The sequence below is a fragment of the Homo sapiens genome, chromosome 3 (genome assembly GCF_000001405.40).
Source record: "Homo sapiens chromosome 3, GRCh38.p14 Primary Assembly".
Classification (NCBI taxonomy): Eukaryota; Metazoa; Chordata; class Mammalia; order Primates; family Hominidae; genus Homo; species Homo sapiens.
The window spans coordinates 142,144,796-142,155,575 of record NC_000003.12 but is presented as its reverse complement, the minus strand read 5'-3'; the positions used below and the strand labels follow the sequence as shown (position 1 = coordinate 142,155,575).

Sequence of the window (10,780 nt, the reverse complement as noted above, 5' to 3'; positions counted from 1 at the left end):
AAACTCATCACATTGTTCACTTTATGTACAGTTTATTCCATGTCAGTTATACCTCAGTACAACTGGGGGAAACAAAGTCTTGCTACTCAAATATGTCATTGGGACCAGCAGTCTCAACATCACCTAGGTGCTTTTTAGAAAAGCAGAATTTCAGGCCTTATCCCAGACCTACTGAATGAGAATCTGTATTTTAATAAGATCCCCTGGTATTTAATTGTTAACTTTTTGTTTTGAAACAATTTTAGAGTTACAGAAAAGTTGTAAAAATAGTACACAGTTCCCTTTTCATTAGCTTCTCCTAATTAACATCATGTATAACCATAATACAATTACTCGAATCAGGAAATTCACATTGATACAGTGGTCTTAACTAATCTACAGACCTTATTTGAATTTTGCCTGTTTTCTGAGTGATGTCCTTTTTCTCGTTCAGAATTCAGTCCAGGATCCCACATTGTATTTAATTTTCATGTCTCCTTAGTCTCCTCCAATCTGAGATAGTTCCTCAGTCTATTTTTTTCATGGCCTTGACATTTTTGAAGTGTACTGGCAGTTATTTTATAGAATGTTCCTCACTTTGGCTTGGCCTGATTTTTTATTGTGTGTAGATTGAGGTTTTGCACTTTTGTTAAAATACTGCAGAAGTGATATTGTGGACTTCTCAGTGCATCCTATCATGAAGCTATATCCCTGTGTCTTATTACCGATGATGTTAACATTGATCACTTGATTAAGATAGATTAAGATAGTGTCTTCCAGATTTCTCCACTCTAAGGTTACTATTTTTCTTTAGTAGTTAATAAGAATTTTCTGAGAAGATACTTTGAGACCATGTAAATATCCTGTTTGCCATCACACTTTTCACTCACTAGTTTTAGTGTCCATGGATAGTTTTCTCCTGCAACAATCATTCCGGTGTTGAGTGCCTAGTAATGGTGATTTTCTATTTCCATTATGCCTTTTTATTTATTAATTGAATTCTACTGTATGGAAGAGCTGTCTCTTATCCTCCATTAATTTATCACTCAATTATTTATATCAGTTTTGGTCACCTCTTGCCCCACTTCCTATCATCTTGGCCCACCTTTTTATTCCACTTGTTGCAGCAATCAGCTGCCCCGGTGTATGCTGACAACACCTTGCCTCATTGTGCCTTACCATATCTCCTGTTCTGGACTAGGATTTCCTTGCCTCTCAGCTTGGAATACTTGTCTGAACTTGCTCTGTTATTTTCACCCATGTCCAAACCTTGAAGTACTAGAGAGTTGACACCCGACAGAGCAACTTTTTCACAGTGAGGATGGGAGCCAGTGTGTAAATATGCCCCTCTTCTGTCCTTCAAGTGGACAGTTTTGAAGTATGCTCTTCAAAACTTCTTGGAGAGTCCCGTCCAGGATCAAGCCTCAGTAGCCTCCAGCAGTGATCATCTCAGTAACACATCTCAGTAACCCATAACACATGGGGTTGGCTTTTCCTCCTTCGTGTTTCACGCTTGCCGTCTCCCACTCCAGTTCATTGGAATCATCTCCCAAAATAAACCAACTGCATGTAAGAAATTGTGTCAGGGTGTTTGTGGGGAAGGAGAACCAGCTAAGATCTGTGCATTACCAGTTGTTAAATATTTTGACTGTCACCCCTGTTCATAATCTAAGACCCTGTGGAAAATTTCACATGTACAAAGGAGACAGGAATATTCATAGCATCAGAATATGAAAAAAGGTAAAAACTCCCAAATGCCTTTCAGTAAGAGAATGGATTATCTGCCGGGCATGTTGGCTCACATCTGTAATCCCAGCACTATGGGAGGCCAAGGCAGGCGGATCACTTGAGGTCAGGAGTTCGAGACGAGCCTGGCCAACATAGTGAAACCCCGTCTCTACTAAAAATACAAAAATTAGCTGGGATTGGTGGCGCGCACCTGTAATCCCAGCTACTTGGGAGGCTGAGGCAAGAGAATCACTTGAACCTGGGAGGCAGATGTTGCAGTAAGCTGAGATTGCACCACTGCACTCCAACCTAGGCAACAGAGCAAGAGTCTGTCTCAAAATAAAATTAAAAAAAAAATAATAAAATAGAATGGAGTATGTAAATGTTATTTTTGCATTAGTGAAAATGAATGACCACCCATCAAGATAGATGACCCTCTTAAAATGTTGAACAAAAAAAGATTGGCAGATGAATAATAAATTTTATTCTAAATTTATGAAGTTCAAAAACATGAAAAGCTAAGCAATATATTATTTGGATATACATACACGTGTGTTAAGATTATAAAGAAGAACATGGAAATTATACACAGAATTTAAGATGTTATTTTGGAAAGGGAAAGTTGTGGGGACACACTGGTAGGGGGCACATGAGGTTTCAATGGTGTTAATAATATGTTGCTTAAGCAGGTACATGAGGGTTTATCATGATTCCTCATATCTCACATTTACTTTATATTTTTTAGGGTGAATAAAATATTTTATCCTAAAAATATTTTAGGTTTGATATTAAGGGGTTACTTTTATTAAGGGTGACTTTGAAACCTTTCTACTGCTCTAATGCAGTCATTCCAGAAAACTGGGGAGAGGTTGAATCCCTCCCTGAGGAAATTCCGAGGCTTCGCCTCTACTCTGTCCTATTAAGGTGATTAAACTGTACATAACAGGATTGTCTCTAGAAGCAAGACCCAGATTTAACACTTATAAGTGTTATTTCTTTTGTCAGTCACTAGATGGATTTGGTGTGAAAAGAAGATGCTTTAAAAAAAAATCTGAAACTGTTCTGACAACTGCAGATCTTTTCATGTGATAAAAGGTGTCACTAAGGACCTTCTTACTCCAAGTGTGATTTTTGGCTGCTGAGGCAGCACCAGCATCACTTGGAAGCCTGTTGGAGATGCAGAATTGAAGCCACACCTTACAGACTGAATTGTAAGATTCCCTAAGTGATTACTGTGCACCTCAAGGTTTGAGAGGCAGTGGTCCAGGAGTCTGGTACTTCCACCTGCAAAAGCAGTATCCAGTGCCAGCAGAGGGGGCAGCACGTGGAAATGCCTCAGGTTTAACTGTAATGGACCCGTCTTTTTCACAACCCTCTTTGTGTTGGCTATTCTGTGGCCCGCATATTTCTAAATAGAGTAGACTTTATTATACCTCTCTCCTCTTTCCAAATTTGCTGGGCTGTGGACTCTCATCTATTCAATAAAAACATTGAACTTCCATTAAGCACTGAGGAGATGATAGTGAATAGAATGATATGACTTTGACTCTAGAAGCTTACAGTCTAATGGGATGCAGGTAGCAAGTGAGTAATTACAAGTTTAATGAATGTTGGAAAGTCAAAGAAAATTTTATGGGAAAACAGTTGGAGATGGGGACTCCGGGGAAGCTTTTCTGGAGAAAGTGTTGTTTAAGTTTAGATGAAAAGGCATGTGCAGGTGAGTTGTGGGTGAACTGGGGGATTGTTCCAAGCATAAGGAATGCCAATGAATGGTGCTCTTTGGACATCTGTTTGTATTGCCAGTGCCTTGCATAGTTCTTGGCATACAATAAGTGCTTAATAAATGTTTGCAGAATCAATAAATGTTCTGTCACATTTCAGATGTCTACTCTCTGGCATTGGAGATGGTGGAAACTTTATTTTCCTTTTCAAAGGAAATAAGATCCCTTAATGGGGAAATAAGAAAGAAAGCTGACTGTTGTGCAAATTGCTAAATTGGAACTATGAGTGGGAATGAAAAATTGATTTACATGAATTTTCTTCCCTGTAGCAACTTGACAATTTATTCTGTTCTGGAGAATTCTCAGTTTTTGGCTTAAAAACCAAGCTGTTCCTCCTTATTCTGAATTTCTTGGCCTGCTGTGAAACTAACATTTACTGTCTTTTACAACATGCCCTGATTAGGTCATGGAAATTCACAACTAAATCAAACTAGGATATGGAAAATTTGAAACTTTCACTGCCCATTTTATGTAATGGCGTTGGAAGGTGTTATAAAACATTGACTTTTAAATCTTTATTTTCAAAAGCTATATTATACGATGAATATAATAATTGCCATCATTTATTGAACACTTACTACATGCATTACATAGCAAAATCCTCATACTACCTCTGCAAGAGAGTAAGTTGAACCATATGAAAATTGCCCAATATCAGCAATTTCATGTGGTTCAACCTAGTATCTTCAGACTCTGACCTATAAAGAGGTTAGGGAATCCCTCATAGCCATAACTTCACTCCAAATTTAGTACTGAATCTTTTAGTACTATCTTTTATAGATAAAGAGATCCTAAGATAGTTACAGCTCCTCTATGACAGCGACCCCTTTCCCTACATTAGCCCAAGCACTTTGTGTGTGTACTTCCATCATGGTTATTTACGCATTGAATTGAGGTGGTTTACAATCCATTTCCTCTGCTACACTGAGTTCCTTGAGGGTGGATGTTTTGTCTGTCTTGCTCATTTTTGTATACGTAGTACCTAGAGTGAAAAGTATTTGTTGAATATAACTTTAAGTTTTCTTAAAGTTATATTTTTTGTGGAAACTAAATTTTTATTGATTTGTTACTGGAGAATGTGAAGTAATCACTGGGGTTTTTGCATTTTAGAATCAGTCAGTGGAGTACTGCATTTGACATTCTTGGACTCTCAGGACTAGTTACATGCAATTATGCATACAATTGTCTCTCCACCCTGCCCCAGAGAAAGATCTGAAAGTGCTCTCTTACCTATCTCATCTCCTTTAGGCATTTGCTTAAATACCACCTTCTCCGTGCTACCTTCCCAGATCACTCTATTTAGGACTGAAGCCATTCCTCCAACACCTCTGCTTATATTTTTTTCCCATAGCACACATACCAGCATGTAATATAGTTTTTGTTTTACGTATTCTTTTGCATATTATCTTTCCCATCCTGCTAGAATGTAAGCTCCATGAAGGCAGGAGTTTTTGTCTCTATTTTGTCCACTGATGTCTCCCCATATCAAGAATAGTGTTTGGGGCCGGGCGTGGTGGCTCACGCCTGTAATCCCACCACTTTGGGAGGCCCAGGCGGGAGGATCTCTTGAGTCCAGGAGTTCCAAACCAGCCTGGGAAACATGGCGAAACAGCCGGGTGTGGTGGCGCGGGCCTGTAGTCCCAGCTACTCGGGAGGCTGTGGTGGTAGGATCACCTGAGACTGGGAAGTCAGGGCTCCAATGAGCCGTGATCCTGCCACCGCACTCCAGCCTCGGTGAGAGCAAGACCCCGTCTCAAAAACAAACAAAGTGGCATATAGAAGATCTATAAGATTTGACTGGAGTAAAATGAGAAAGATCTAATCGTTTTAATGCGCTGTTCACACGGGGTTTTTAACTTCGGCACGAACGAATGAACAAAATCTTTTCATATGGAACCAAGTGTACGGGTATTTGGGGTGTGTGCAGTTTCCGCGGGACAGAATGACCTGTCCTGGTTTGGGTATTAACTTGCCTTGATATTGAAGAACCTCCACATTCCCAGTGGTCTCTAACTCATTGTCTGAATAATTTCAAGGTGTCCCACAGTTGGCCCCACGCATAGCCTCAATCACGATCACTCGCCCCCCTGTCCCTTATTGATGCTCCCCCAGGGCGACCCCGCAAAGGCCTGGGGACCGAATGGAACTGCCCCAGTCCCCCTCCTTCCAAGAGAGCTGGGGTTTTCTGGCTTCGGGGTCAGTTGGAAAAGAGATTCCCACCCAAGTCGCAGGGTGGGAGTAGGGGGGATGAGATAGGAGTGATGAAGGAAGTGTGTCTAAAATTCTAGGCCTCAGGCCCGCAGCTGTCCCTGGAGGCGGCGGGGAAGCGGGGTGGTCGGGTCCTGCGGAGGGCTCCCAGGGAGGCCACAGGGGGAACCAAGGGGCGGTGGCTGAGTGCACGAGTCCCGCCCCTCCATCTGTTGGCCCCCTACTCTCAAAGGGAAGCCTGGGGGCGGGGTTTGTTTACTCCGTGCACGCACTGCCGGCCCGGCCAATCCGTGGGGAGCGGCGCCAGGCGTCGCACATTCTGAGGGCCAATCGGCGCGCACTGTGCTGCTCCGCCGCCAAAGCTCGCGCGGGGGAAGCGGGGCTGTAGCTGGGCAGGGAGAGGGCGGACGAAATCGGTAGCGATCTCGGCTGCGGCGCTGCCGCAGCTGCCCGGCCCGCGGGGCGCGCCCTGACCCTTCATCTTTGGGCAGGCTCGAGGGCGCGCGCACGGTTGGCGTTCTGGGGCCTCAAACTCCTGGGCCTTGACCGGGCAGGCCGCGTCTCCCCGGGTGTGAGTCCACCGGGACCCGGCCGCCGCCTAAGCGCGGGCGCCACAGAAGCGGCGGCGCCCGAAGACGCGCTCCTGGCTCGGCCCGACAGCCTCGCTTGGCCGCCAGTTCTTCTGCAGCCGAAGGCGGTAAGGTCTGGGGCGAGGGCGCGGGCCCGCGCGCGGAGGGCCTTTGGACCCGGCCGGGCGCGTTCCTGGGTAGGTTTCCCTCCCTGCGCACAGGGGCCCCCTTGTTCCCCCACGAGTCCCATCTGTTTAGACCTGGGTTCTCCAGGCCTGGCCGGGTAACCCGTGAGTGTCTGGGCCAGAGTCGAAAGCAGAGGAGGGTCACCCTCTTAGTGCATAGAGCAAATCGGGGGAGGTAACGTCCCTGAGTCACGCCTCGTGGAAGAGGGGAAGGGCTGCTTTCTACTTTCTCGTTCTCTTCAAAGAAGGATGGCTTCTAAATCTGGTTTTCCGATTTTTCCCTTCTCCTTTCATGACTCACAGGCCTCTGTGTCCACCAGGTGTTTTGTTTGTTTTTAAAGAGTTTCTAAGCTTTGTGTGCTTGGAAGAACCTCATATGCCCCATAAAGGAACTTTTCTCTGAAGTAGAGGATCGCTTTTTGGGCCCAGACTCCTTTGAGAAAATCTGGAAAGCCAAGGTCTGTCTTCACAAAGAAGTGTAAGGGTTTTCCTAGGATCTCGCTGAGAGACAGTACAACGAAGTGGATGAGCGCCCCAGTCTCTCTTACCAGCCTGTGCTATCTCCCATTGTGTGATCTCGGTTTCTTCATCTGTAAATTAGATGCATCCACCTATTCGGTGTGTTTCGGGGAGTGAATGGACTAATGTATGGAATGCAATCGTAAGAAAATCCTCCACGTATTAAATGCCTTGCATTAGTTAGGCACTTTTATTATTGACTGCCATGGATGCTGGTTTAGAAAAAGACCCTATATTATTTCCCTTTTAGTGTTGAGACAGTGAACGGGCTCATTCCTTTTCCATATTCACTGCTGAAGCTGCCTTTGAGCCCATGAATACTTTTATCTTTTCCTCATTCCATCTCAGAGGGCACAGACTCCCTCTCACTTATTTGCTTTCTTTCAGTAAGGCTCTCTTTTAGCTCAGCCTTCTCCTTCCCCTGTCTCCCCGAGATCTGAGTTTTGTGTCTTTTCATTTGACTTGCACAACCTACTTTTTTTTTTTTCTGGGCCATGTGTTTTCTCTTCATGGCTTGAATTTATCTTCACCTAATAAATAATTTACCTGTTTTTTTTTTCAGCTCGTGAATATATATTCATCTATTTTCTATATGGCATAATCATGTCCCTGTCTCTCTTTAAAAGTAGATATAAAAATAGTTTAATTGATCTATATTGCAGCTTCCTTTTCCATTTCATTGTTTAGCCTGTTATTTAGCTAAACTTTATCACTATCAGATTACTGTAATTAATCTTTAATGGCAGTGTCCATTCTCAGACAGCACCAGGAGAAAAATCAAATGCCTAGACCCCAGATTCTGTCACACTTGTGTACTGGCTCTGGATGTGTTTGTTATTTATTAGAACATCTTGTGCCTGTAACTAGTCTAGTCTAAGAGTAGACATGGTGTCTGTAGCGTTGTTCTGGCTGTGCAGTTGCAGTTTGAGCACTGTGGCCCTTACATTTGTTAATAAAAGGTTCAAGACTTACTAAACTCTTACTTTTCAGTTCTCTTCATTTCTAGGTGTTTAAAAAGGAAAGCTGAATTTTTGCAGTGTGTAATACTTCATATTCTCATTTTGTGATCATGTAATTCCTCCCACCCTGACTCTTGTGAATGTGTAGTCCAAGTGGCACATGGAAGTTTTTCTCTGGCAGCTAAAATTCTTAACTGTCTGAGCCGTGTGCCCTCAATATAACTGATGAAGTGGGATGTACTTCCTTGTCATCATCTTTTAAACTCTTATTGCAATATGTGTTATAATGGATCTCAGAAGAAACTAGAAGGCATAGATTGAGAGTTCTTTTAGATCATAGAATTTTAAATTGTAGTGGATTTTAAAGAGAATCAAATACACTCACCTCTTCATACTTAAATCCTTTCCGTTTTAATCTGGGATACATGACTCTAGGTGTGCGGCATGAATAGATATGAAAGTAGGCTTGTGAACTCTTGGAAATATTATGCAAAATTATGCATATTTGTATATTTTTTGGAGAGACTATTTATAGTGTCATAGTTTCTGAGGCAAAGATATTTGATCAATTCTTTTTTTTTTTTTTTTTGAGACAGGGTTTCTCTATGTTGCTCAGGCTTGTCTGGAACTCCTGGGCTCAAGTGATCCTCCCACCTCACCCTCCCAAGTAGCTGGGGTTATAGGCACACACCTCGCCATGTTTGGACAACTCTAATTTTTATAAAATTATTTCTTTCACTGAACTAGAAATTGTGTCCTCACTGTCTCTTCTGTATTGTGGGTTTTCAACTATTTGAAGATACTTATATTCCACTGAGTGTTAGAAAATATTCTCAGTCTTTAACCTCTGCTAGTGACTTTTGTGTCATTGTTTTCATTCACATCTCCTCACAGAACTCATAGCCCACTTGTGGATTTGTTTAGTTCATCCACATTCTTCTGACAAGCATGGTACCCCAAATTAGGTATTAACTAGTATAGAAGACTAAGTTACCTCTCTAATTTTAAAGCATGTACTTTAAGAGTAGACTTGCTTCTTTGGCAACCACATTACACTGTTACTTTATAATAATTTACTAGTTAAGAAGATTAACTTTGGGGCTAACCTTCCTGTGTTTAGATCCTAGCTCTGCAGTTTATCAGCTGGGTAACCCTGAGTAAGTTATGTAAACACTCTGGGCCTAAGTCTCCTCATCTCTAATATGGGGTTAATAATAGTGTCTATCTTACACAATTCTGAAGATAATTAATATATATATATAAGTCATTTAGAATGGGTTGTGGCATCCCAGTACTATGTATGTATGATACCTATTTTACTATTGGTTTCCTTGTCAACTAAAATTGTTGAATTATTTTGTTCATGCTCTCTCTGTTCTTAAAGTCATACTCTCTCAATTCTTTAATAGAATATTTTTTGGTAGGACTTTACATGTATCTATATTTTTATTTTGTAAGATTGCTTCTAGTCTGTTGACATTAAAAAAATCCTGATTTGGTCATCCAATAAATATCAAATCTATGCATTTGATAAACATACAAGTTTGATAATTTTGGCATTGCTTTCATGCAAATTTTTCACTAAAATGCTGTCTAGGCAGGGCTGAGGTCAGAGTTCTTTACCTGCTAAAGACCTCTCTTAAAGGTGATAAAAAATTTTATTATTAATTCTTTGGTTCAGGTTGGTCACCCAATTAGAAATTCAGCTAATTTTAATCATCATCTACCTCATATGTTTCCAAGTTCTCATAAGGAATATGTGAGGAACTTTGACAGTTGCCTTACTAAAACCCAGATTTTATATGCTTCGTTTTCTTTACCCTATCATTACTTGTCCTTAGTGAAACTATACTATATTCCAGTAGCATATGTTAATTACTACTTTTTTGTCTTTTTTTTCGGAAAAGGATTATTTATTTATTTATTTATTTATTTAGAGACAGAGTCTCTCTCTGTCACCCAGGCTGGAGTGCAGTGGCCTCCTGGATTCAAGCAATTCTCCTTCTCCAGCCTCCCGAGTTGCTGGGTCTGCAGGCGCTTGCCACCATACCCGGCTGATTTTTGTATGAGAAAAGGATTTTTTAATTCAAGTAAAAATGTGGAATGCTTTAAGAATTTGTGTGTCATCATTGCACAGGGGCCATGCTAATCTCTGATTTGTTCCCGTTTAGTATATGTGCTACTAAGGGAGCACTGATTACTACTTTTTCTAAGTGTTCACAAACTTCTCTTAGTAATGATGCTAGAATCATGTCTAAAATTACATCTAACTTCAGTGATCAATAGTTGGCAGGATCCCATTTCTCTTTTTTTGAACACGAGTACTACATTTTTCTGTCTTTAGTCTTCTGGCAACCTCTCCTGCTCACCATAGTTCCTAAATGATTGCCAACAGCTGTGTGGAATTTTATTTGGAGCAATATACCTTGTTGAAGGTTTACTTAGAGTAGTTAGGAACTGTCTTTTATCTTCATGTTCATATTGAGCTTTCATTTCCTCCAGTTCATTGATAAATTTATTAAATGCCCATTTTGCACAAGATATCAATGCTTGTTTTACTTGAGCCATCGGAAGAGAATTTTTCTTAATAAAAATGCCTGAAGCAAAAAGGTAATGTACATCTATTTCTCTCCATTCCTCCTATTGTTAATATTACCGTAGTCTGCCACCATTCCTTCTTTAGTGTACTGCAGTAATAGCTTCCTGTTAACCTTCCTTCTTCCAGTCCTTTTCTGTCTCTGGTCCTTATGTATGGCAGCCAAAGTTATCTTTGTTTTAAAAATGCATGTATGTTTTAAAAGTCGTTTCTGGGAGGTGCAGTGACTCACGCCTATAATCCCAGTGCTTTGGGA

At 41.3% G+C, this 10,780-nt stretch overlaps 1 protein-coding gene and 1 pseudogene across 12 annotated transcripts in view, besides 5 other annotated features; one reads left to right on the top strand and one right to left on the bottom strand.

Annotated features, from left to right (window-relative positions):
• Positions 5,757 to 5,806: a silencer, noted in NCBI's record as "silent region_14787". NCBI's record gives its function as "represses an Ori minimal core promoter by ATAC-STARR-seq in GM12878 lymphoblastoid cells {active_cell/tissue: GM12878}" and the evidence as "EXISTENCE:reporter gene assay evidence [ECO:0000049][PMID:35858748]".
• Positions 5,887 to 6,387: an enhancer, noted in NCBI's record as "H3K27ac hESC enhancer chr3:141868031-141868531 (GRCh37/hg19 assembly coordinates)". NCBI's record gives its function as "activates a minimal SCP1, AML or CMV promoter by ChIP-STARR-seq in primed H9 embryonic stem cells {active_cell/tissue: H9 hESC(primed)}" and the evidence as "EXISTENCE:reporter gene assay evidence [ECO:0000049][PMID:30033119]".
• Positions 5,917 to 6,126: a silencer, noted in NCBI's record as "silent region_14786". NCBI's record gives its function as "represses an Ori minimal core promoter by ATAC-STARR-seq in GM12878 lymphoblastoid cells {active_cell/tissue: GM12878}" and the evidence as "EXISTENCE:reporter gene assay evidence [ECO:0000049][PMID:35858748]".
• TFDP2 (transcription factor Dp-2) overlaps positions 6,032 to 10,780 on the top strand; it is a 205,117-nt gene continuing 200,368 nt past the window's right edge. For 9 of the 12 annotated variants that reach the window (NM_001375780.1, XM_017007100.3, NM_001178139.2 and 6 more), the window contains exon 1: positions 6,032 to 6,393. The gene's annotated coding sequence lies outside the window, so the exon portion shown is untranslated. Of the gene's footprint in view, positions 6,463 to 10,780 lie in introns of all 12 variants that reach the window. The other 3 variants (XM_047448783.1, XM_017007091.2, XM_047448775.1) reach the window with 1 other exon arrangement.
• Positions 6,187 to 6,256: a silencer, noted in NCBI's record as "silent region_14785". NCBI's record gives its function as "represses an Ori minimal core promoter by ATAC-STARR-seq in GM12878 lymphoblastoid cells {active_cell/tissue: GM12878}" and the evidence as "EXISTENCE:reporter gene assay evidence [ECO:0000049][PMID:35858748]".
• Positions 6,487 to 6,536: a silencer, noted in NCBI's record as "silent region_14784". NCBI's record gives its function as "represses an Ori minimal core promoter by ATAC-STARR-seq in GM12878 lymphoblastoid cells {active_cell/tissue: GM12878}" and the evidence as "EXISTENCE:reporter gene assay evidence [ECO:0000049][PMID:35858748]".
• Positions 10,021 to 10,122, bottom strand: RNU6-425P (RNA, U6 small nuclear 425, pseudogene; annotated as a pseudogene).